The sequence below is a fragment of the Homo sapiens genome, chromosome 6, assembly GCF_000001405.40.
Source record: "Homo sapiens chromosome 6, GRCh38.p14 Primary Assembly".
Classification (NCBI taxonomy): Eukaryota; Metazoa; Chordata; class Mammalia; order Primates; family Hominidae; genus Homo; species Homo sapiens.
Window position 1 is genome coordinate 133,484,294 of NC_000006.12, and position 27,410 is coordinate 133,511,703.

Sequence of the window (27,410 nt, forward strand, 5' to 3'; positions counted from 1 at the left end):
CATTCCATTATTTTATAATATCTCATGCTCATGCAGTTTTTAGCTTTGTCTATATTAAGCTATATTAAGCTTTGTCTTCTGACAAGTAATGATAAAATTGCGTTGAAGTCTAGTCTTCCTAAATTACACTTTGGGTGAATCTGCATTGTCATTTGGTTTTAGTATAGGTAATGAGGTAATGGATATTTCTAAACAGATGTGAAGGTAATAATTTTGTTTAACAACCATTTACAAGAAGTGTTAGCCCCTTTATCACAAAAGTAAAGTAAATTATACAGAAATTTGGAGTACACACTCAATATCCTACTACTGATTAAGTGTGCAATATAAAAAGTTTCCAGACTATAATCTGAAGAATTTATTCTAAGTAGTATTGGCTTATCAGAAGTACACAGTAAATCCTGTTGAGCTGATTGCAATATTTTTGTGCAGCTAAGTTTCATATTAGGTAAGTGTTTAAAATAAACAATCTAATAAGCAGACTGGCCCAAATAAAGATCCCTTCAAAATAGTCACCATGAGGTGTTACACCTAAATATCCATGTTGCCCCCATTGTGCCAAATCAGTGGTAGAACTCATCTTTTGGAATTATCATTAGCCTTTTAACATATTTCCTGGCTTCACATCTTTATCCTTTTGTGGTCATTTTGATCTTTCTTTAAAAATAGAAAGATCATTCGGACCCAAGGCGGTGAATAAGGAGCATGGTAAAACTGTCACTGTATATATTTGTTTTATTTTTGTCAAAAATACCATAGAGTAATGAAGCTGCCTTTCTCAATTTACTCATAAACTGGCTTTAAGAGCAATTCCAAAAGCAAAGTTCAACTTCTCTCAGCACTGCTGCGTCATGGAAATAAACCTGTCAGCTCCCAGGATGTCGACAGGACATGCAGCACTCATTTCAACACACAAGTTTTATTTTTCCAAAGTATTTCCCTAAAAGGTTTTTTTTCAAATTCAAAATAGAGACTCTCTATGCATCCTCTGTGCTTCTAGAAGGTTAAAACCAAAAGAAGGAGAATACCAAAAGGGTGGGGCAAAGCGAGGGGAAGAAGGAAACTAACCATTATGGAAGGCTCATGATGCGCCAGGCAGGAAGCATCCCACAGGATGAAGGGGTAGGCTGTTCTCTCAAAGCTATAGATGAGGAAACATATCCAGAGAAGTAATAAAAATGTGTCCACAGCCACACAACCAGTCAGTGGCAGAGACGAGTCCTGGGGCCCCAGATTCTTTGACCCTGAAGCCATGTTCTTTCTGCCATAGCACATCGCATGGCCTGGACAGTTAATATACCAGGAATGCAATAGAAAAGTAATATTTCCAAACAGGAGTAAAGACAATTAGTGAGGTACTGCATAGGCAGTTGGGTGAGTTCTCTTTTAAGTTGTAATTTTAATGATCTTCTCTCAGACACTTGGAATGTGTTTTCATCAAGAGGTAAAACTTAAGAAATATTCCATGAAATAGAATATGGCAGACAGTAATCAGTATCTGCTGGTGGGGCAGAATACAGAAAGAATCAGAGGCACTATTGGAAGGGGATGAGAAAGATAAACTTACATTTATAGGATACCTGTCCTGTGGTTCAGCCGATGTTTGACATTTTAGAAGCAATAGGGTGGTGGTGAAAGGCAAAAGCTTTTGAGTCAGATAAACTTAAGTTCGAAAATCGAGTTCTGATGCTTACAGCATTCTGACTCTGGCAAATTACTTAAATCTTCAGTTTCAAAATCTGTAAAATGGGAATAACACCATCTGTTAGATTGACCACACTGAATAATGTTTTTACTCAGAGCAATTTAAGAAAACTAAAGTAAAAGTGTTTTTAGGCTATATTTTTTTTAATAAAAACAAAAACATCCTTGTCGAATTCCATGAAAAACAACTTATATTGCCTTATTTATTGAATTATTACATATATTTCTCTAAAAGTTGTTTTATCATTGACAATTTACTTAATGTAATTCAGAAAATCGGCACTGCCTTTTAGCCAGTAATAAATAATATCTTGGCATATTGAGAAGTAGCTAAATAAGGCCCATCTTATGAAGCTATGGACCACAGACACCTCAGGGTTCACGGCAGATGGGACAGAGATGACGTTGGGTAGCTTCAGCTTCACCACAAACCATAACTGAAAAATGGTAAACTAGAGCCCCTCAGACAGACTGCATTCATTTAACAAATAGTTAGTAATATCAATAGACATGCTTCTTGCTCTCATGGAGCTTACAAACCAAACAAAAAACAAAACAAAACAAAAAAAAACACATTTCAGGTATTGGTGACTTCTGTGAAGAAAATAAAACTAGGTCGTATAATGAGTGACTGGGGTATGTGACTGAGGAAGTGACATTGGTACTGAGAGGAGCTAGCCCTACAAATTAAGAGAGTGGGAGAATTGGAAAGAGCATTCCAGCAGTGGGTGCTGATCTTCCAGTGTTCCAGGAATATGAAGTCTAGTGTGGCTGGAAGGTTGTAAACAAGAGAAAGAATAGTACAAGGTAAAGGGAAGGAGGTGGAACAAGTTGGCAAAATAGAAACCTCCACTGATTGTCCTCCCTGCAGCAACACCAAATTGAATAAGTATCCACACAACACAACCACCTTCATAAGAACCAAAAGCCAGGTGAGCAATCACACAATACCTAGTTTTAACTCATATTACTGAAGGAGGCACTGAAGAGGGTAAGAAAGACAGTCTTGACTTGCTGACACCACCACCCCACACCAGTCTTCCAGCAGCAGCTGAATGGCACAGAGAGAGAATCTGTGCACTTGGGGGAGGGAGAGCTCAGTGAGTGTAGGTTTTTGCATTGGAACTCAGTGACCTTTCACAGCAGAAAGCAACACTGGGTAGAACTTAGCCAACACCCATGGAGGGGGCATTTAGACCAGTCCTAGCTAGAGAAGAATCTTCCATCTCAGCTGTTGGAACCTGAGTTCTGGCAAATCATCACCACCATGGGATAAAGTGCTCTGGGGTCCAGGCAGTTTAGGCCACAAGGACCGCAATTCCTGGACAAGTCCTGCTGCTCTGCTGGGCTTGAAGCCAGTGGACTCGGCAGACACATGACATGGTAAGACACCAGCCAGGGCAGCCAAGGGAGTGCTTGTGCTACCCCTCCCTCAGGCCCAGGCATCACAGCTCACAGTTCTAGTAGAGATGTCTTCCTTCCACTTGAGGGAGGAGAGGAAAGAGTAAAGAGGAATTTGCCTTGCAACTTGGATACTAACTCAGTCACAGAAAGAAAGGGCACCAGGCAGAGTCCTGAGGCTCCAGTTCCAGGCCCTGGTTCTGAGATAACATTTCTACACACGCCCTGAAGGAAGCTTGCTTCCTTGAAGGGAAGGATCCAATCTTGGCAAGATTCATCACCTGCTACCAAGATTCATCACTCTTGGGCCCTGAATAATCAACAGTAGTAGCAAGGCAGTACTTGCCGCAGGCCTTGGGTGAGACTCAGAGATGTGCTGGCTTTAGGTGTGACCCAGCATATTCCTAGCTGTGGTGGCTATGGAGAGGGACTCCTTTTACTTGAGAAAAGGAGAAGGAAGAATAAAGGGGACTTCCTCTTGCAGTTTAGGTACCAGCTTGGCAACAGTGGGATAGGGCACCAAGTCGGCATGTGGGGTCCCTGATTCCAGGCCATGGCTCTTGGATGGCATTTCTGCACCTGCCTTAGGTCAGAGGGGTGCCCACTGCCCTGAAGGGAGAGCCCTAGGCATGAAAGCATTCGCCACAAGCTGACTGAAGAGCCCTTGGGCATTGAATGAACATCTGTGATAGCTACACATTACTTGCCATGGGCCTGGAGCAGTCAATAGTGGTCATGGGAGAGAATTTTCTGCTTGTGGAAAGGGTAGGGAAAAGTGGGAAGGACTTCATTTTGTGGCTTGGGTGCTAGCTCAACCACAGTAGAATAGAGCAACAGGTAGTTTCCTAATAGAGCACCAGGTAGATTCCAGATTCAGGTCCTAGCTCCTAGATGGAGCCAGGCTCTGTAGACCCACCAGGGACCAGGGGAACTTGACACCCTGAAGGGAATCATACAAACTTGGCTAGTTTTGCCACCTGCTGATTGTAGAGCCTTGAGCAAACATAGGTGGTAGCCAGGCAGTGGTTACCACAGGCTTTGAATGTGACCCAGTCCTGTGCTGGCTACAGGTCTGATCCAGCACAGTCCCAGGGTGGTGGTCACAGAGGTGCTTGTGTCACCCTTTCCCCAGCTCCAGGCAGCTCAACACAAGAGAGAGACCCCATTTGTTTGGGAGAAAGTAAGGGAATAGAACAAAAGTCTCTGCCTGGTAATCCAGAGAATTCTTTGAGATCTTATCCAAGACCAAGAAGAGGGCATCTCTATGAGTCTGCAAGAGCCACAGTATTACTGGGCTTGGGTGCCCCCATTTAATGCAGATAGCATACAGTGACCAAAAACTTAGATCACAACACCCAAGTTCCTTCAGATACCTCAAAAGCCTTCCCAAAAAGGACAGGTATAAAGAAGCCCAGACAGCAGCGACTCCAGTAAATACCTAACTCTTCAATGTTCAGACACTGGTGGGCATCCACAATCATTAAGACTACCCAGGAAAACATGACATCACCAAACAAGGCACCAGTGATCAATCCTAGAGAGATGGAGATATGTGACCTTTCCGATAGAGAATTCAAAATAGCTTTTTTGAGGAATCGCAACAAAATTCAAGATAACAGAGAAGGAATTCAGAATCCTATAAAATAAATTTAACAAAGATATTGAAGTAAAAATCAAGCAGAAATTCTGGAATTGAAAATGTAATGGACATATTGAAGAATGCATGAGTCTCTTAACAGCAGAATTGATAAAGCAGAAAAAAGAATTAGTGAGCTTGAAGACAGGCTATTTGAAAATACACAGCCAGGGGAGACAAAAGAAAAAAGAATAAAAACGAATGAAGCGCACCTACAAGATCTAGAAAATAGCCTCAAAAGGGCAAATCTAAGAGTTATTGGCCTTAAACAGGAGATGGAGGGGTGGGGCTAGAAGGTTTATTGAAAAGGATAATAACAGAGAACTTCCCAAACCTAGAGAAAGATATCAATATCCACATGCAAGAAGGTTCTAGAACACCAATAAAATTTAACCCAAAAAAGACTATCTCAAAGCATTTGATAATCAAACCTCAAAGCCCAAGAATAAAGAAAGGATCCTAAAATCAGTGAAAGAAAAGAAATGAGGAACATACAGTGGAGCTCCAGTACATGGCAGCAGACTTTTCAGTGGAAACCTTATAGGCTAGGAGGGAGTGGCATGACATTTTTAAAGTGCTGAAGGATTAAAAAAAAAAACCATATTTACCCTAGAATAGTATATCCAGTGACAATATCCTTCAAACATGAAGGAGAAATACTTTCCCAGACAAACAAAAACTGAGTGATTTCATCAACACTGGATTTATCCTACCAGAAATGCTAAAGGGAGTTCTTCAATCTGAAAGAAAGGGATGTTAATGAGCAGTAAGAACTCATCTGAAGGTAAAAAACTCACAGGTAACAATAAGTACACAGGAAAACACAGAATAGTGTAACACTGTAATTGTGGTATGTAAGCTACTCATACTTTAAGTAGAAAGACTAAAAGATGAACCAATTAAAAATAATAACTGACAACTTTTCAAGACATAGTAAAATAGGATATAAATAGAAACAACAAATAGTTAAAAAGCAGGGGAACAGAGTCAAAGTGTAGAGTTTTTAATTAGTTTTCTCTTTGCTGGTTTGTTAGTTTGTTGGTTTATGCAATCAGTGTTACATTGCCATCAATTTCAATTAATGAGTTATATTATTTGCAAGCCTCATGATAACTGCAAATCAAAAACATACAACAGATACACCAAAAATACAAAGCAAGAAATTAAAACATACCAACAAATAAGTCATCTTTACTAAAAGGAAGACAAGAAGAAGGAAGAGGAAACCACAAAACAACCAGCAAACAAATAACAAAATGGCAGGAATAAGTCCTTACTTATCAGTAATAACACTGAATGTAAATGGACTAAACTCTCCAATGAAAAGACATAGAGTGGCTGAATAGATTAAAAAAAAACAAAAAAAAACAAAAAACCGTGACCCAGCGATCTCTTGCCTACAAGAAATACACTTCACCTATAAAGGCACACAGAGACTGAAAATAATGGGATGGAAAAATATATTTCCTGAAAATGAAAACTAAAAAAGAGCTAGAGTAGCTATACTTATAATCATCAAAGTGGATTTCAACACAAAAAGTAAAACAAAAAAAAACTATAAAAATTAGACAAAAGAAGGTCATCATATAATAATAAAGGAGTCAAATCAGCAACAGGATATAACAATTTTAAATGTATATGCACTCAATACTGGAGCACCCAGATATATAAAGCAAATATCATTAATACTAAAGAGAGAGATAAACTTCAATACCATAGTCACTGGAGACTTCAGCACCTGACTTTCAACATTGGGCACATCATCCAGACACACAATCAACAAAGAAACACTGGACTTAATCTGCACAGGCTTAGACCAAATGGACCTAATAGATATTTACAGAACATTTAATACAACAACTGCAGAATATACATTCTTCTCCTACACACATGGATCATTCTCATGATAGACCACATGTTAGGCCACAATACAAGTCTTTAAAAATTAAAAAAAATGAAATTATATTATGTATCTTCTCTGACCACAATGGAGTAAAATTAGAAATCAATAATGAGGAATTTTGGAAACTGTGCAAGCACATGGAAACTAAACAATAACTCCTGAATGACCAATGGGTCAATGAAAAAATTAAGAAGGAAATTAAAAATTTCTTGAAAGAAAAAAGTGATAATGGAAACACAAAATACTAAACCCTATGGAATACAGTGAAAGCAGCACTAAGAGGAAAGTTTATAGCTATAATTGTCTGCATCAAAAAAAGAAAAACTTCAAATAAACCACCTAATGATGCATCTTAAAGAACTAGAAAAGATCAGAGAAGAAATAAATGAACTTGAAATGAAAAAAATACAAAAGATCAACAAAATTAAAAGTTGGTTTTTTGAAAAGATAAACAAAATAGACAAATCTTTAACCAGCCTAGCTAACAAAAAAGAAGACTCAAATAAGTAAAACCAGAAATGAAAAAGGAGACGTTACAACTATACTTCAGAAATTCCAAGTATTCTTAGAGGCTACTGTGAGAAACTACATGCCAATAAACTGGAAAATCTAGATGAAATGGACCAACAACTAGACATATAAAGCTGTCAAGATTGAATCATGAAGAAGTCCAAAACGTGAACACACCAATAACAAGTAGAGATGGAAGCTGCAATAAAAAGTACCCCAGCAGGCCCGGCGCAGTGGGTTATGCCTGTAATCCCAGCACTTTGGGAGGCCGAGGTGGGCAGATCACGAGGTCAGGAGATCAAGACCATCCTAGCTAACATGGTGAAACCCCGTCTCTACTAAAAAATACAAAAAATTAGCCAGGCATGGTGGCGGGTGCCTGTAGTTCCAGCTACTCGGGAGGCTGAGGCAGGAGAAGGGCGTGAACCTGGGTGGCAGAGCTTGCAGTGAGCCGAGTTAGCACCACAGCACTGCAGCCTGGGGGACAGAGTGAAACTCCGTCTCAAAAAAAAAAAAAAAAAAAAGAGGAAGAAGAAAAGAAAGCCTGGGACCCTATGACTTTACTGCTGAATTTTTCCAAACATTTAAGGAAGAGCTAATAGCAACCCTGCCCAAACTATTCCAGAAAACAGAGGAAGGAATATTTCCAAACTCATTCTACAGGGCTATTGTTACTCTGATACCAAAACCAGAAGAAGACACATTAAAGAAAGAAAGCTACAGGCCAATATCCTTGATAAATATTGATGCAAAAATCCTCAACAAAATACTAGCAAACTGAATTCAACAACACATTGAAAAGATAATTCATCATGACCCAAGTGGGCTTTACCCCAGGGATGCAAGGATGGTTCAACATATGCAAATCAATCAACGTGATACATCATACCAACAGAATGAAACACATAAAGATTATTTCATCTGATGCTGAAAAGTATTTGATAAAATTCAACATCCTTTGCTGATAAAAAAAATCTTCAAAAAACTGGGTATGGAAGAACAATACCTTAACACAATAAAAGCCATATATGACAGACCTGCAGCTGATATCACACAGAAGGGGGAAAAATTGAAAACCGTTCCTCTAAGATCTGGAGCAGAACAAAGATGCCCACTGTCACCACTGTTATTCAGCATAGTACTGGAAGTCCTAGTTAGAGCAGTTAGACAGTAGAAAGAAATAAATGGCATCCAATTTGGAAAGGAAGAAGTCAAATTAGCCTTATTTGTAGATGATATAATCTTATTTTTAGAAAAGCTTAAAGATTCCATCAAAAAACTATCAGAGCTGATAAAATCAGTAAAGTTGCAGGATACAGAATCAATCAACATACAAAAATCAGAAGCATTTTTATATGTCAGCTGTGAACAATCTGAATAAGAAATAAAAAAGTAATGCTATTTATAATAGCTACATATAAAATAAAATTCCTAGGAATTAACCAAAGAAATGAAAGATCTCTACAATGAAAACTGTAAAACATTGATGGCATAAATTGAAGAGGACACAAAAAAAATGGAAAGAGATTCCATGTTCATGGACTAGAAGAATCAATATTGTTAAAATGTCCGTTTTACCTGAAGCAATCTATCAATTCAATGCAATCACTATCAAAATACTACTGACATTCTTCACAGAAAAAAACAATCCTAAAATTTATATGGAAACACAGAAGACCCAGAATAGCCAAAGCTACCCTGAGCAAAAGGAGTAAAACTGGAAAAATCACATTACCTGACTTCAAATTATAACACAAAGTGATAGTAACAAAAACAACATGGTACTGTCATAAAAACAGACATATAAAGCAATGAAAAGAATAGAGTACCTAGAAACAAATTCATACATTTACAGTGAAATCATTTTTTACAAAGATGCCAAGCACATACATTGGGGAGAGAACAGTCTCTTCAATAAATGATGCTGGGATAATGGAGATCCACGTGAAGAAGAACGAAACTAGACCCCTATCTCTTGCCACATACAAAAATCAAATCAAAATGGACTAAAGACTTAAATATAAGATCTCAAACTATAAAACTACTACAATAAAACATTGGGGACACTCTCCAGGACATTGGACTAGGGAAAGATTTCTTGAGCAGTACCCCACAAGCACAGGCAACCAAGCAAAAATGGATAAATGGGAGGCATCAAGTTAAAAAGCTTCTGCACAGCAAAGAACACAGTCAACAAAGTGAAGAGATAATCCACAGAATAGGAGAAAATATTTGTAAACTATCCATTATACAAGGGATTAATAAGCGGAACATACAAGGAGCTCAACTCAATAGGAAAATATTTAATAATCTGAATAAAAACCGGTCAAGAAATTTGAATAGATATTTCTCAGAAGACATACACATGGCAAACAGGTACGTGAAAAGGTGTTCCCATCATTGATCATCAGAGAAACTCAAAACTACAATGAGATATCATCTTAAGACACTTAAAATGGTTTGTATCCAAAAGACAGGCAATGCCAATGAGGTTGTACAGAAAAGGGAACCCTCATACACCGTTTGTGGGAATGTAAATTAGTACCACCACTATGGAGAACAGTTTGGAGGTTCCTCAAAAACCAAAAATAGAACTACCATGTGATCCAGCAATCTCATTGCTAGGTATATACCCGACAGAAAGGAAATCAGTATATCAAAGAGGTATTTGCACTCCTATGTTTATTTCAGCACTTTTCACAATAGCCAAGATTTGGAAGCTACCTAGGTGTCCATCAACAGATGAATGGTAAAGAAAATGTGGTACATTACACAGTGGAGTACTATTCAGCCATAAAAAATGAGATCCTGTCATTTTTAGCAACATGGATGGAACTGGAGCTCTTTTAGTGAAATAAGCCAGGCACAAGGTGACAAACTTTACATATTCTTACTTATTTGGAAGCTAAAAAACGAACTAATGGTGACAGAGTAGAACAATGGTTACTAGAGGTTGGGAAGGGTAGTTGTTGAGGGGTGCAGTTAGTGGGAATGGTTAATGGGTACAAAAATATAGTTAGACAGAATGAATAACATCTAGTATTTGATAGCACATCAGGGTGACTGTAGTCAACAATAATTTATTGTACATTTTAAAATAACTAAGAGAGTCCAGGCACAGTAGCTCAGGCCTGTAATCCTAACACTTTGGGAGGTGACGCAGGAGAATCACTTGAGGCCAGGAGTTGGAGATTAGCCTGGACAACATAGTGAGACCCTGCCTCTACAAAAAAAAAAAAAGTGTTTTTTTTTTAATTAGCTGGGCATGGTGGTGTATGCCTGTATTCTCAGCTACTCAGGAGGCTGATGTTGGAGGATCATTTGAGCTCAGAGATTGAGGCTGCAGTGAGCCATGTTCACACCACTGCATTCCAGCCCAGATGTCAGAGTAAAAAATAAATAAAATTATAAAATAAATAAAAGAGTTTAATTGGATTGTCTGTAACACAACAAAATGATAAGCACTTGAGGTGATGGATACCCCATTTACCCTGATGTGATTATTATGCATTGTATACTTGTATCAAAATATCTCATGACGCCAGGTGCGGTGGCTCACGCCTATAATCCCAGCACTTTGGGAGGCCGAAGTGGGCAGATCATCTGAGGTCAGGAGTTCAAGACCAGCCTGGCCAACACGGCAAAACCCCGTCTCTGCTAAAAATAAAAAAATTAGCCAGGTGTGGTGGTGGGCACCTGTAATGCCAGCTACTCAGGAGGCTGAGGCAGCAGAATCGCCTGAACCCCAGAGGCAGAGGTTGCAGTGAGCTGAGATGGCTCCACTGCATTCCAGCCTGGGCAACAGAGTGAGACTCTGTCTCAAAAAAAAGAAAAAAAATCTCATGTATCCCATGTGTATATACACCTACTATGTACCCACAAAAATAAAAAATACTACAGAGATATATTTATTTATTTATAAATAAATATAAATATATTCATTTATTTATAAATAAATATAAAGAAATATATTCATTTATTTATAAATAAATATAAAGAAATATATTCATTTATTTATAAATAAATATAAAGAAATATAGAAGAGAGAGGTAGGCAAGGGCTGGACCAGGCAAGGACTCTTCATTATGGTAAGGTGTTTGGGTTTTTTCTGGTTGCAGTGAGAAGCTGTTGGGGAGTTTTAGGTTTATTATTGTCTGCTATGCAGAGAATAGAATTTAGAGGAATAAGAGTGGACACAAGTTGACCACTTAGGAGACACTATGCAGTAAGAATGGCCATGCCTTAGATAGGAACAGTGCTTCTGAAACTTGAGTGTGTGTCACAATAACCTGCAGGGCCTGTTGAGCACAGATTGCTGCGTTACAACCCAGAGTTTCTGATTCAAGAGGTTTGAGGTGGGACCATAGGTTTTGCATTTGGAACAAATTTCCAGATAAAGCTGATGGTCCTGGGCTGCATTTTGAGAACCACTAGAGTGGAGTATTTCCCAGACTTTTTTTCCTTGAGCAAACTAATGAACATGTTAATTAATAGTCTTTGAGAAAAGGCCATGGTCAAATATATTTAGGGAATGCTTACATTTTATAGCCATTCAATGCATGTTATCATATTAAAGGTCATGAGATGTTTAAAAGAATCCTCTATAACTAAGTTTAATCCCTCAGTTCCCTAATGTCATCAGTAATAACCTTGAGGACTGACTGAAATAAGGTTATTCTGATGATTAGTTAAGTCAGGACTTTGCATTGCTAATAACAAAAGTGACCAGAGCCATTATTTCTGGGAGGGGGGAAAAGACCTTTGTAGTGTTAAGATTGTCTAAGCTTGAAATTATTATGGGTCCTTAAAATTATTATGGGTCCTTAATTCTTTTCATTTCTTAGATCAGTCTTATTTCCACAATATGCATGTTAGAGTGTAACAACATTTTGGTATAGCATAGTGATTTTTTTGATTATTTTAGCCAGAGATTCCTCTACACACATATGACCGAGAGCATCACTGTATAGAACATCTAAGGGCAGAACTGCTCTAGGTAAAATGTACAGATGGGGGACTGGAGAGATCCCATTTCCCCTACATGACCACCCTTCCCCATCATTCTTGGTCACCATGAAAGGTGTTCCTGAATCCTGGAGCTTGCTCAGAATACAGCCTGGAAGGCAGTCGACTAGCTGAAGGAGCACTGAACTAAAAGTCAGAAGGACCTCCTGTGCCTGGCTGTGCCTAAGGGCAAACTGACCTCTGAGCCTGTTTCATCTGAAAATGGTTATAATTCATTTCCTTCCAGGGGTTACGGGGTGGCTTAAATGAGATAATGTACGTATATAAAAATGACACTACACGGTGAAAACTATCATCTACCTCCTAGGTTAGAGAAAATTCATAAAAATATACCTTCTTTCTCCAAAATGAGAAATAACTAAAGGCAGATGTTTTCAGACCTGCAAGGTCAATGTTTACTCCTGCACCATGTGAAGTGGCACTGCAGTGGCCTCAAGTATAGTGAGCTGGGAGCTGCACCTATGAAGACCAGAGATGTCAATCATATCCTGAAATTACCATACCTACCTGCATATCTACCTGTCTTTCTTCCTCTCCCCGCACCCATAATTAGTGGGCAATACTGAGTATCATTTTTTTACTGGTTACTGTGCGCCTGGCCCTTGGCTGAGTGTCCTGTGAAATGCATTCTCTCATTAGCTTTTCCCATCACCCTGTGTGATTGATTGGTACTACCATACATAGCTCATAAGTGGCAAGATCAGTGAAATCCGTATCTCTTTGGCAGGTTCTTAATCTCTGTATTCTTTGGTCTCGTGTTCTTTCCCCACAACTTGTAAAAATAAAATGTGTGGACCACAGTAATGTAGGAATGACCTTTTACCCATAAATTGTCCCAACTAACTTTTGTGTTTTAATTTAAAAAAACTTTTGGAAAATTCTACTTCCATTTATAAATTAAATTATGTGAATTTCCCAAGCATCTTCCTAATGGGTTATCACTTTTTGACCCTGTTCAATTGTCAACACTGTCTTTTCCAAGCAGAACTATTCCTGGACATTTCTGACGATGGTGAATGAGGAACCTTGCTATCTGAGCCCTGCTGCTATGAGGCTGGTGATGGGTTTTGCAGCTGAGCACCAATTGCAATGTACAGTGTCTGTGCTGCAAAACTCTAAAATAGGAGCTTGTAAATTCGACAGGATGTAGACCAGGAATCATCCATCACGTTAGAGTTTATTTCTATTCCCTGATTGTGTATATCATTTTACCTGATAACTTGCAGTGATTCCTTTTGTTTTCAGGGGAGGGTGAAGAAAGCTATATAAATTGTGCTTTAGGGATTTGGTTTATCTTGGATCATTAATGTATCATGTGCTATGAAGCTATGATACTCTAAAGTTATTCCACAGTAAGGACACAGAGGAAATAGCCCAAGTCAGGGGGAAAAAGTGAAGGAACTGCAGGAAAAGTGAATGGTTGGCTGATAATGTGAAACTCAGATTCAGGGTCCCCAAACTGCTTGCTTATTTTAGACAACATCTCATATTAACAGCAGTGCTGGCAAAATAATATGTTTATCAGAATTAATCAATTGATTGCTTGTATATTGAACAGTCTACACACATTTGTGCAGAAAAATACTTCTAACATAGCATTTGGCTGGATTTTAAATGATAGGCTAGTCATGAAGATAAATGCTGATGTTTGTGCATTTGGACTAAAGAAAACCAACATGGTTTAATAGAAAGTAATAGAATTAATCAAGTGTTAGAACCATGGATCTGAGGCAATCCTAATGGCAGTGCTAACAAACACCATATGCTTAGAGGGCTCTGGCTTTGGAGGGAGAATGACCCTGAGTTCAAATTCTGCCTCTCCCTCCTAGTACCCATGTGACCTTGAGTAGTTTATTTAGCATTTATGAGCCTCAGTTGTCTTGTATATAAAATAAGGAGAATAATAAAAGTAGTAATTTGATTCTGAGGGTTAAATGAGTTAATGCATTAAAACTCACCACAGAATAAACATTCAGTAAGCATAACCTATTTATTTAGTTTCAAGGAAATCTGGAATACAGGAAACTGAATTTTTCTAAGGAAATTTGCATTTTATATTTGTATCTGTTATTTTACCTCATAATATGAGTCAGTCAGTGTTGCAGAGAAGTAGCACTATGCCAGGGTGACTAGAGAGTGGTTTTGGTATATATTATATAAAAGGAATGATTACAGAATTTGCAAGACTCAAAAAATGCATAATGTTTTTACTGGTAGCTTATAGTAAGTTTGTGTGTGCATGTGTATGTATATAGTGTGTACATAAATATCATACATATGCATGTGAAAATAAAGCCAAATCAAAGACAGTGACATATCTCGAACTCTTCCCTAGGGAATTGGGGAATCATTGCTACCTATTGTCTCCCCTTTCAGAGCTTCGTGTTGAGTATATGTTTGAGAATTTCTTTTAAAAATTAAATGGAATGACTCTGCGTGATCTCATGAATAGCCAAATATATTCCTAACTTTTATTTAAGCCCATCTTTAGCAAGTAATTGCTGGAATTATGTTAGAAAAGGGGAAAGATCTTGAAAGGACATCACATTGATTAACTTGAAGCTAATATACCAGAGAGATAATGGTAACTAATCTCTTAAAAACACATAGAGCAACCTTCTGTAACCTGCCCTGAAGTTTTCAGTTCCTTTGATCTCAGTTGATGATCATTTAATCTCATATCTTGAGAAGGTGGGGGATTAGAACATTAACTTACCTTAAGTATTCTTTAACCATCATCAACCCTCTCCTAGGCATTTCCTCCTATAGCCATCTCCTAACATGTCAATCACCTTTCTCCTGGAGTCCTGAGGAGCCTCGTGAGGTGTGTGTATTTGCCACCTCTGCTCTGCCACTTTTCTCTGGGCCCTGTGCTTTCTAGCCCATCCTCCCAACATGGTATTTTTCTTTCCATCCAAGTACCATGTTACACTGTTGCCATGTACTACCACTGTAATTCCCCCCTTGAAGTACATTTATTCTGTTATTAGTTTAATACATTTGGATTCCCTTCTGACTGAAACTGTAGAAGCCTCTAGTGGTAAGTTGTGTGATGATCCCCTTCATCATACAATTTAAGCTTGACAACATTAACTACTGTTCAACTGCAAATATGTTGCTTACACTGAACACTTGAATTGTGAACAAAATCTTTTAATTCAAAATGTGCTAGCTTTTCACCTTTACCAGCTCCCCAGCAGGTAATTGGCTACATTACTAAGAAAAAGACACCATCAGACATTTGGTCCTTGAAGTTAAGTCCACAGAATGATCTTTATGGAGGTGAAGGGTGGAAAAGGCACTCTTCCTCATAAGCAACTCTAGAGAAGTCTAGTTCCCGAGAAATTATACTAAGCCACAGTTCTACTCAGTGATCACGCTGGCTCAAGTCCAGCCGTCCTGTGGAAGCACCACAGAGGCTTAACTCTTGGAAAGCCAGAAGGTCATGCCAGCTCTGATTTTTCTTAACTATCCCAGTCTCTCATTATAATATCTTATAGACCAGTATTTATTCAAAAGTAACATGTATATGAATCACCTGATAATCTTGTTAAACTACCTGGCAAACTAGATCTGGGGAAGGGTCTACAAGTGTGCATTTCTAACAGTTTCCAGATGATGCCAATGGTGCTGGTCTGTGAACCACACTTTGAGTAGCAAGACTGTCATCTGCTGACTCTCAATTTCGTTTGTACATTGGACTCACTGCAGAGCTTTAGCATGACTGATGCGTGGACCCACCTCAGATAATCCGATTTAGTTGGTATGGGGTGTGGCCCGAGCAACAGGCATTGTGAAAGCTCCACCGGTGTTCCCCATGCATGGTGGAGTCTGAGAACTCCTGTCTTATATGTCATCCTCCCAGCTTGGAGTCCTCCTTATGTACCACTATAACCCTACTTTTCCATAACGCCTCTCTATCCTTTCCTCATTATTTCTCCATCAGAAAACCCCACTGACTGCCTGTACCTCAACAGTTGAATGTGGCCACAAATCTCAAGTGGGTGCAAGCACTCTTGGGGTCATGAACTCTTCCTATTGGAGGTTTTGAAGAGCTGAAGGGAGAGCAAGCATATCTCTCCCAATTCTGTACAAACCTCCTCAATTACTAGGGGGAAAAAAGCAAACAAATGAATTCTGTCATCTTTGCACCACCAAATCCGTGCCTCCTACATCTGTAGCCATAGATGTCTCTTGCACCTCTCTTGCACCCTGGTTCCGTGCTCCCTCACCTACCCAAAGAATCGACTCCTGAAAGGACTTCTTTCGCTAAGCCACCAGTTTCTCACTCTCCTAGATTCTTCCCATCACCATCGTATCTGCTGTCACATTCCTGTCATTAGAAGAGCTTCTTGAGCCCATTTTCCCCTCTGGTGACTGCTCTCCTTCTCTGCTCTTTCCAGCTTTGCCATAACATGACACTTGCCAAGTCTGAGGAGCCACCTTGTTGCCAAATCAAGTGTTCCTTCTTGGCTTATCTTGCTGGGGCCTCTCACATACATTCAGTGGAGCACTCTTGCATTCTTAAAATCCTTGTTTCCTTTCCCTTCCCTGGTCAGGGTCCCTCTTCTCACACACAGACTCCTCACCTCTGGGCTCTGTGTATGTTCGCTACTATTGCACCTGTTCATACCTAGCTCCCTCACCTTTGTCAGGCCTCTGTTTCTCTCTCTGCCATTACCTCCTGAAAGGGGGCTTCTCTGAATTTGCTTTAAATTAGCCCTTTCCACTCATCCTCATCACTTCTGTATCTGCTTGTCCTGGTTTTTCTTTCATAGCTCATCACCACCTGAAATGCTTATACTCCCTTGTTTTCTTGTCTGTTTATCAGATATCTCATCCAGTAATAATATAAACCACATAAAGGTACGGGCTTTGCTTTTTTGGTTATCTGCTCTCTGCTTGGAATTTGAACGTGTCTAATACATAATTAGTCACTCAATAAATATATGATGAATAAATGAATGTTCCTGAAACCATTTTCCAGTTCCTCCTAAGAACCTGTAAGCCCACTACCTATCCATCATAGACAAGTATCACAATTGTAAAATTTCTGTTCTGATTTGTGACTGAATTTCATTTTATCTCTTATGATTTAAAGAGTATATGTATTCTAAAAAATCCAGTAACTTTTTCCACCTTGGTTCATGGAGCTGGTCTGCCTTCTTTCTTCCATGATGAACTTGCATATCTTCTATCTTTGTGTGCACATGTCTACACATATGCTACGGGTCCCAAAAGAATAACTGTTTCAAGAGGTTGATGTCTTTAAAAAACAAAAAAAAACGTCCTTAGTTTCTTTAAAAATACATAATTGCTGCCTCTCCAGAGATATTTTTACAGTGTGTCCCTAGAGGAGGAATTCCAGCTGATGGCCCAATGCAGGGCAGAGGCCCGTAGACAGACAGTCTGGCTCCAATTTATGCTCTGTGTTCACATGGCTAATAGGCGTTAGTATTTTGATTTAGAGAACTGCTGTACTGGATCCTGCCCTGGTTATACACTGGCAACATCTGGCTTAGAACCACACATTTAAAGGCCAAGAGCTATTTATTTTCTTCATCTTCCTCTTCTCTCTCTCTCTCTCTCTCTCTCTCTCACTCTCTCTCTCTCTCTATTCAGTAAAATGTCTGGGGAATAGTTTCAGTATTTTGATAGAGCAGTACACAGAATAAATTGGCAGTAGTTCAATTTGCTTCCTATTAAACTCTGTTGTAGACACTTTGAACCTTTTGGAACTGTTATAATATGTATAATATATATCAGAACTTCCACAAAACCCTGTTAGTGCCTTTATTATCCCACTTTTTTCCTCTATCCAAGATTTTGCTATCACCTCATTTTAGACCCTAAACTCAACATTCACTACACTTAAATGCAAATTAAAAAAAAGCAACTCTTGATTCATAAGGTGCCCATAATTCTACAAACATCTAATGAAAATGAGCAAACATCTCTGTATAAAACTTGGGTTCAATCCAGAAGTATGTTTCATTCTCACATGCCTGATAAAACAGTGGAATTGCAGGTGCTGGCAGCTCCCTCACAGCAGTTTGGCAAGATGGAGGGTGCCCAGCATTGCTAAGGCTACACCCACCAAATGTCCAGTCATCTTTCTGGGATTCTTGGATCTGTGAGTCCTTTAGCTGGAAAAATGCAGTGCTGTAATCTGCTCACTTAGAATTAGCTGTCCCAGTGACTTAGTAAGCTGGAAAAAAACAAAATTAAAATTAGATATTTGAAAGTAAGCCTGCCCCAGACATTCTCTTAGAAACAAGATCACCACCTCTTACAGGCATGGTTTTCCTTGGCTGATGGCATGACTAGCCCTGGCCCATCTGTGCCAAGACTTTGGCATGGCTGATGAAACCTCTCTCTTTCAATAGGCCTTGCTCTCTGGAAAGCTTAGTAAAATACAGCTAGTTCACACTCCAGCAAACCACAAACCTAAACTTTCCCAGTTACAAATGATATTTTGCCAAAATGCTTACTAAGTCCTGGCTCTCACAGAGTGTGTGATGTGGAATCTCCACAGCTTGAAAAACAAATGACCAGCCCTCCCAGTGCCGTGGGGTTGCATTCCAGTGGAGTGCTCAACTACAGTTTTTATCACACCACATGCCATGCTTGCTTGCTAGCAGATTCTTGCATTTTGCTTTTTTTAAAAAAAATTATGCTTGTTTGCATGCTTATCAGATGTACAAAATGCATTCTTCATGGATTTTCCTATCACTGTTTGGGTAGCACAGAGTTACGTACTTCAGAAGCATGGAATTGATCAAAGTAACAATCAAAAGGAACAGTATGTTTTCTCCCATCCCCATAAATCTGATCTGTAAATGCAAAGAATGTGAAGAATGAACATAAGAAATTCAATAATGGTATTTAAAACTTAAAAAGAAAAATTGGCAAATCATAGGATAAGAGCCTAACCAACCTGGTCTCCAGAAGGAAAACCTTTTAAATCAGATATTTCTGAACTCCTATCTGAAATATATATCTTTAGGGCAGTAATCATCAGAAACATAACAGACTAGTGTGGAGCTCAGTTTTATTGTCTTGCATCAGTGAACATTCCTCAGAAGCACAGAGCGTCACTAATGGAATTATATGTTTTCATGCTATAATTACATTTGATTTTTCCTGATATTTCTGTAGACTTTGTTCATGGTTCCATGACTAGGCAGAATAGTTTCATAGAATATCCTCAGCCTAGTTAATGCCTAGTTCCCCCAACCCTGTCAAAAAGACAGAGACTAATTATAGGAATTTTTCAACCAAAAAAGACAAAATGTTTTTTTTTTAATTTACACAACCTTTAGAGATTTTATTTCAACAAAAACATGATCAACAAAATGAAGAAAAAAGAATTTTATACTTGAAGGAAACAGAGCAAGGGGCCCTTCTGAGCTCTGAAACCCCTTGAGACACAAACTGGCACTTATTAATATTTTTTTTCTTTTGAGATACTGTTTCACTCTGTCACCCAAGCTGGAGTACAGTGGCATGATCTTGGCTCACTGCAACCTCCACCTCCAAGGTTCAAGGGATTCTCGTGCCTCAGCATCCTGAGTAGCTGGGATTACAAGCACACACCACTGTGTCCAGCTAATTTTTGTATTTTTAGTAGAAACAGGGTTTTACCATGTTGGCCAGGCTGGTCTCGAACTCCTGACCTCAAATGGTCTGCCTGCCTCAGCCTCCCAAAGTGCTGGGAACACAGGCGTGAGCCACTGTGCCTGGCCTACTTATTAATAATTTTATTCTTGTTTTTAATGAATATTTGTTGGCTAAAACAGAACTGATTTGATCTTTGGGTATATAGTCCCAAATGGTTCTGTCACTGGAAGACGGATGAATCCGGCAGCACAGTCAAGCTACCGGATGACATAATACCAGGAGGCCATCAGATATGTGAAGAGTCAGCATCCATTACTGAGAAATGAGAATCTCTGCCTATGAAATCCACATAAATCTCTAAATGAGAAGATGCAAACAATTAGAAAATTATGTTGAAATCCAGCGTATTATTATCTTGTCTCTATCTTCACTCACATCGTCTTAGTTTAGCTCTCATACCCCAGTGACCCCTTAGCACTCAATGCCTTTTTCTTAGCATTTAATTCCTATTCTCCAGGTTTTCATGGCTATAGAACACAGGATGACATCTCAAATATGTTTACACTTTAGGGCTTCCCCCTCAAAACATGATGAAAGGAAATATAGGAATAAAATGGATTATCATAGTGGAGGTGTGGAATGAAGAGTGGTTTCTCCTTGCAAATGGAATCAGTTCAGGGTGTAGATGAATACTGCTTGGCCTGACCTGGGTTGCAGGTTCTTATCATAAATTGAGTAAAGTTTGCATTACATTTCCCCAAGTTGAGATACATTTCTTGAAATGCCAACTATTAGAACGTTGAAAACACAATTTCGGCTCTCTCTTCTCAAATCCCTGCAGTCTGGCTCCTGGCCCAGCCACTCAACCCAAATCACCCTCTGAGGTCTTCCAAAATAACTTCCCAGCCAAAACCAATAGTATCCTTCTAGACTTGTCAGCTTTATTCAAAACCTTATTCTTCTCCCTGCTAACACCCATCTGGTCTCAAATTTTAAGGGTTTGTCCCTTCCAGGTTTTTTCTTTCTCTTATCTTCGGAGTTGCACCTATGAGCAGTTCTTCTTTAGACATCATTCCAACTTTGATAATTTTAAACACAATGTTTGAGCATGAATTACTTCCCTATTCCCATCCCTATCCCCAAATGCTCCTTTCTTTTTAGTCTTATATCTCTTGATGCTAGGCCTTCAGCTGCAGTTAATTATGGTAAAGTAACAACTCTGGTCTTGATTTTCGACTTCTTGCTGCTGTTTAATATCTTGGTTTCTGTAAACAAAAATTGAGTCATTTTAACTCTTTACTGACCCCATCACTTCCCAAAGCATATATTTTTTACCTGGATTACACTTAGAGAACTAATGTTCTTTTAGCTATTCTCACCCCTCCCTTCTTCAACCTTAGTCAAATGCAGGTTAGACCAAACTCTACACATGTTTGGATAGGGAGATTCCTCTTACCTTGTTGATAAAAATGCAATTAAAAATTAAGTGATGGTCGCACCATCCTCTGCCAGCTCTTCCTGTTTCACCTCCAGATAACATTCTCTACTCAAGTCCTATAAATACCCAGTTGACCTATTTTTCTCTATCTTTTAATTCTTATTATTTGTCATTATTCTTAAAAAGACATCCTTTCTTTTTAGTAAGTTTGCTCCATTCTTCAGCACCCCATCCAAATACCTTTCTCCAGAATACTTTCCATAGATTATATGTAAACTGGGTCATATGAACTAGCTGATTTCCTTCCTCCTTCTCTCCTCAACATACAGCTTTATGTGAAAATGTATGCTGAGTCATCGTTACGTATGTCTGAATTCCCAGGTGTGTCTGTGCATTTGGTATGTCTGAACCTTCTGGAAAGTCACCTTTTTGGAAAACTGAGAAATCTTTTGAATCTTCAGTAAAAACCCATGCAGTCTTCTCCCTCTTCCACCACAGCAATATGTGCTTAAAATATTTTTAATAATAAGCGCTTACTGAAATTTTACCTCATTATGTGTACATTTTCTTTACAGGATCCCCCCATGGCTGTAACCCTTGGACTCCGCATGGAAGAAATGATTTTTAATCTTGCTGATACTCATTTGTTTTTTAATGATTTAGAGGTAAGAATTTTACAAGGTACAAATAGTTGTATCCAACACCAGACCTCCTAGATGGTTTCTGTATCTGTAGATAACCTCGAGAAAACAGAAAGATAAAAATTCAGCTCAAGAGAAGCATAAAGTTCTTGTCAAGAGGAAAAATTGTATATACAAATATAAGCAGAAAGTTAATTTGTGTTCATGAATAATACATATGTAGAACAAAAATGTCTCTGAAGAGGAGATTGTTGGCTTTGCTGTCCTTACTGTCCACAGCTGTACATGACTCTTGGTTCTTTTAGTGTTTCAGCATTAGCTCTTCCAGATTATTAACCCGGAACCTATCTAGGTTAATCACTAAACGATATTCACAGACACTATTCATGGTGATAGCGTGGATCAATTAATTTTGTGGATAATCTGAAACTTAACTTTAGCTAACATTATCATTCCCCGTTTCTTTCCCTTCTGGATAAAACAGTGCTAGAACTATTTAAGCACATTTGATGCATTTAAATGCATTTATTTTCTCATTTTAAAAATTATGTTTCTATTTTCAACCTCAAATGGCAAGACAGTGTCTAAATGGCAAATAAGAGGAATAGAAAATAAAAATCAACAGCAAAATGAAACGACCCAAGGAAAAATAGCCTCAGAGTAGTTGAATGTGTACTGCAATAAAGTATGCCATCTGTGTGCTAATGACCTAGGTTATTAGACATTCAGATAATAGAATTCGAAATAACTAAATAGTTCAGGTTCTTGGCAGAAGTACTTCTCAGTCAAGCATAACTATGCTGAAATAGAGATTTCTCTTTCATTTTTTTTCAGATGGCATGTTTAAATTTATTTTTTATCTCATAGTTTCATAATTAAAGTTTTTATCTATAGTCATATTATGAATTGAGAGGGAGATTACTACTACTGAACCCCTACCTTGTTCTAGATATTTTATGTTGGACTTTCCATTAATTACTTAACAATGTATTGAAGTAAATGTGTTTATCACATTATTTATGCAAGGGAGAAACTGTATGGTCCACAACATACAAATCACATCTAAAGTTACCTGCTATCTAAATGGCAGAACTGGAATTTGAAGCAGATTTGCGTGGCTCCAGAGCACATACTTCTGACCCATCCTTTGCTGAAAATTTTACAAGTGTGTGAGAAAGAAAAGCCAAGTTATTGAGTTACTTAAATAACTTTTTTTTTTAATGCTCTAAGTTCTGGAGTACATGCGCAGAACGTGCAGGTTTGTTACATAGATATACACATGCTGTGGTGGTTTGCTGCACCCATCAACCCGTCATCTACATTAGGTATTTCTCCTAATGTTATCCCTCTCCTAGCCCTCCACCCCATCACAGGCCCCAGTGTGTGGTGTTCCCCTCCCTGTGTCCATGTGTTCTCATTATTCAACTCCCACTTATGAGTGAGAACATGCATTGTTTGGTTTTCTGTTCTTATGTTAGTTTGCTGAGAATGACGATTTCCAGCTTCATACATGTCCCTGCAAAGGACATGAACTCATCATTTTTTATGGCTGCATAGTATTCTATGGTGTATATGTGCCACATTTTCTTTATCCAGTCTATCATTGATGGGCATTTGGGTTGGTTCCAAGTCTTTGCTATTGAACATTGCTGCAGTAAAAATACATGTGCATGTGTCTTTATAGTAGAATGATTAATAATCCTTTGGGTATATACCCAGTAGTGGAATTGCTGGGTCAAATGGTATTTCTAGTTCTAGATGCTTGAGGAGTTGCCACACTGTCTTCCACAATGGTTGAACTAATTTACACTCCCACCAACACGCCAGTTAGAAAGTTTTTTTTTTTAAATGACAAGGTCTTAAATCCAGTTTGAGTTATATTTGAGACATGAGAGTAAAAATGAGTGGTTCAGTACATTCCATAAATGTGTGTGCTGAAATCTGTGTAATAGCATTTTGCTGTTGTTGTTGTTGTTTTTCTCTATGGTGAGTCATGTTTTTACTGAATAATACAATTACTGTCTGTTTAAAGCGGCATTCTTTTTTTTCTACAGTGGACAGTATGAAAGCTCATATTACTAGGCAAGCTTTCAGTTTTAGATAACAAATAATAATCACCTCTCTAAAACCTGATTTAAATTGATCCTGCTACTTATGAATACAGAATGATTTTATATATATATATCTGGTAATAACAAACACCTTAACCTTTCCACAACTTGAATTTTTTACATACAGCGATAACTTTTGGGGTTAGTTTTTCTGTTGATCAGTATGGATGAGTTGCATTGTAAAGAGGATCTTAATATTATTAGTCTTTTCAAAGGTATAAAAAGAAAAAAGAAATTTTATGTGGTAGTATCCAAGTAAAAGTGCTTATTTCATTTGGTTAATTATTTTTTACTGGAAATAAGTGGAATAAATGAACTTTTAGCTTTTGTAGTGGCACATTAGAAGCCAGATGGAATAAATTTGCTACCCAACTTTTAAAAGAACACTGCAGTGAGAAGGTGAAAGTAGCATATAATGAATTTGTAACTAACTAGCAAGTTTGAAATGAATATTGGTATATCAAAAACATGTTGTAGTCATGTATGGCACTTAAAGACATTTATTTTAGTTCAGGTACTATGTTATATGTATTTCAAAAATACCTGGCAGGATCTTTGGTAGAAGTAGTTCATGAGAAAATACTGGTATTGACTTTCTCTTCTCTGAGTATATAGCTTTTTAGTTGTGTTTTAGAATGTGATAAGAATTTCATTTGACTCAAACCCTAGAACTTAGCTATTCAACAATACTGTACTTAATCAATAAAATAATTGAGTTTCTGCAGATAAATTGAACTCTCACTGTATATGCGTGCCACACAAATGCTTGCACATCCAGATAAAGTGCCCAAGGAAACATAAATGATTTTTACTGACTTGAGTAAACAAGCACTAAAACCAATAGAATCAAAACAGTAGCTTTCAAAAGCATTCAGTACAGTTACATACATAGCGCCCTATCCTTCTGCATCTGACTTTGAAAGGCAGTTTTACTTTCACACAACTTTTTATTTCAATAAACCTCTTACAGCCAAAAATTGTCTTGGGCTCCATAACTGGAATTAAATGATTTCTACTCTTGTTGACAAAAAGAATTCCTCAAGAGAGTAACTCTAACATTAGCTTATTATGTTGTCATTGTTGATGTTGAATATTTAAGCTCTCAGGGTGCTTTTCTTAAAAAAAAAAAAAAAACCGAACCATCTAATTTGACACTCCATTCTTTCAGTAGATACTGCAACATATATAGTAGCAGCTGTTCCTCACATAATTCCTTAAAAGATACAAATTTAAATCCTCCTAATAGACACTTCACTGCATCCTGCCCAACTGCAGAGAAGGCAGATGCCCAAACTACCCTCCCCCAACAGAAGAGAATCCTGTGTGTTTAAATAAAGTGCTATTTCGGTTAGAATAACCTCCAGAAAAGAAGTCTCAGGAAGTTTGAGATGGCAAAGGTGAGAAAAGACTGCTGTGAATTATAACTGATAAATATCAGTGACCACTTTTTGGTCACTTTGTGAGACAAAATTAAAGTATTTAAAGTTAGTTCTAGAATATTTTCAAATGTTTGAGTTTTATTAAAATTTGTTAAAGCCAAAACATTACAGTGTTTTTAGTATTTCACTTTTTGGTCAAAATGATTCTTACAAAGTTTCTCAGAGTGAAAAATAATTGAAGGACAATTATTTAGCTTTTTCTAAAAATGTAAATAATGGAAGTTCAGGTTTCTTTCACTGGACCGTAATCCTCAGGCAACCGTCCAGAGTCAACAGGCATAGTTAACTAGGCATAAATTTAAAGAAAAGTTAAATTTGGAAAAACCTCAAATATAACCTCAATTATGGAGCTTATGGTCCAATAAGTGTGATATACTGTTGTCCTCAGGAGTAAAAGATAAGTTTTTGGGCAACCTATGTACAAATTAATCATGCGAGTTAATATTTAATGTCAGAGGAATTTCTCTAAAAATTACAATGAGAGGATATTAAATAGAGAAATAACTTCTGATTACCAGGGAAATTTACAAGGATTCCTCCACTTTTTTGAATGTCATTAATTTATTATAAAAGAGAAACACAGAAGTTATTTACATGTGGAAAGATTTCAGAGCTTCAATGGAATGGGCAACTTCATGTGACACCATTTCAATAGTGATTTATTTCAGTCTACGGACTTTCCAAGTATGTCACCATCTCTAAATAAGAAATAATCTCATCATTTAGAACTACTTTGGTGCCTCCATATTCTGGGAGAAAAACTTTATTTCCAACCCTTATGCTAATGGGTAAAATCTCTCCACTCTTTTCCTTAAAGCCCAGTCCAGCAGTTACTATCATTGCTTGCAATGCCTTTACTGGATGTTTTTCAGGAAGCATAATGCCTCCTTTGGTTACAGTTTGGACTGCACTCCTTTCAGCCAATACTTGGTCAAAGAGGGGAAGACATTTTCTAAATACCTGTCCGGCCAGGCCATTCCTTGGGCAGTCTCTGCACTCTTCTCTCTCCCTTCCTTCCACTCTTGACATAAATATCTTCTTACTCTCCTCACCATTTAGAATGCTTTTATTTTATATCATCGTAACCTTGTGTTAGAAAATTTAAATGATTGTGGTAATCCTGTAAAGAATTAGCATTTGTCTAGACTTCTCCCATTTATTTAAGAAAGAATTGTGGAGTGATTATTCTATGCTAGATTGTGCCGTAAGTGGGGATGTAACCTGGTGAACCAAATGCCGCACTCCAGGGCACTTCCAGTCAGATTAAATTTGGGGACCCATACGTGTAGGTGGAGATTTATTCAAAACTTACTAACCCTGTAATTTCTGTAAATTATATGAACTTTTAACTTACCTGGATTTTCAAGTTACATACTCAGAAGGTACTGATTGGGCTAGTCACTGAGTTTTGTATATTAAAGGAAGCCTGAGTCAACTATACCTTTAAACTGGAACCGGATTAAACACTTTCTGTGTGGAAATCTGGAGACTAGGTATGAAATATTTGACTGCCAGATACTTTCAAGCCCAATAATGAATATAAATAGTAGCTTTCAAAAAACCTTTGTTTAGTATGGTGTATTTTCAAATTTAATGATTTTTTTTAAAAATTAATTTTGAATGCTAAGCACTATGTATATAGTCAGAAGCTGTAAGTATGAGTAAAATACTTTGAGGGGGACTAAGGAGGCCCAAGATGCTAAACCATACTTACTCTGAGGTTAATATGATGTAGTTATTTATTATAAATAATTTATTTTTATTTATTATATATTTATTATTCTGAGAACTAGGCATTTTAAATGCCCTCACCAAATTTCACCTTTAGATCTTGTAATATTGCGCTGGAACTTTGCAGATTATTTGAAGATGGACTAAGACTCAGAACAGCAAAGAAGGATCAAATCCTTATCCACATAAGTTACCATTTGTTCTGAGCACACAGTAACTTACAATCAGGTCAACTGTGGCCGGGCGTGGTG

General features: G+C 37.9%; 1 protein-coding gene, 1 long non-coding RNA gene and 1 pseudogene across 31 annotated transcripts in view, besides 1 other annotated feature; 1 reads left to right on the top strand and 2 right to left on the bottom strand.

Annotated features, from left to right (window-relative positions):
• The window catches only part of EYA4 (EYA transcriptional coactivator and phosphatase 4), a 291,536-nt gene that overhangs the window by 243,701 nt on the left and 20,425 nt on the right, over positions 1-27,410 (top strand). For all 30 annotated transcript variants that reach the window (XR_001743219.3, XR_001743220.3, XR_007059221.1 and 27 more), the window contains one exon: positions 21,813-21,902. Coding sequence is in view for 27 of the 30 variants with exons in the window: in XM_017010368.3 (XP_016865857.1) it covers positions 21,813-21,902 (90 nt within the window). In the remaining 3 variants the exon portion in view is untranslated. The remainder of the gene's footprint in view (positions 1-21,812; positions 21,903-27,410) is intronic.
• Positions 17,959-27,410, bottom strand: part of TARID (TCF21 antisense RNA inducing promoter demethylation) — a 386,755-nt gene continuing 377,303 nt past the window's right edge. The window contains exons 7-9 of the long non-coding RNA NR_109982.1: positions 22,951-23,028; positions 21,786-21,977; positions 17,959-18,387 (exon numbers count right to left, since the gene is read on the bottom strand). This is a non-coding gene — a long non-coding RNA (TCF21 antisense RNA inducing promoter demethylation). The remainder of the gene's footprint in view (positions 18,388-21,785; positions 21,978-22,950; positions 23,029-27,410) is intronic.
• Positions 20,858-22,057: an enhancer, noted in NCBI's record as "MED14-independent group 3 enhancer chr6:133826289-133827488 (GRCh37/hg19 assembly coordinates)". NCBI's record gives its function as "activates an origin of replication core promoter dependent on BRD2, BRD4, P300/CBP and CDK7 cofactors, and independent of MED14, by STARR-seq in HCT116 cells {active_cell/tissue: HCT116}" and the evidence as "EXISTENCE:reporter gene assay evidence [ECO:0000049][PMID:35650434]".
• HSPE1P21 (heat shock protein family E (Hsp10) member 1 pseudogene 21) lies at positions 25,980-26,433 on the bottom strand (annotated as a pseudogene).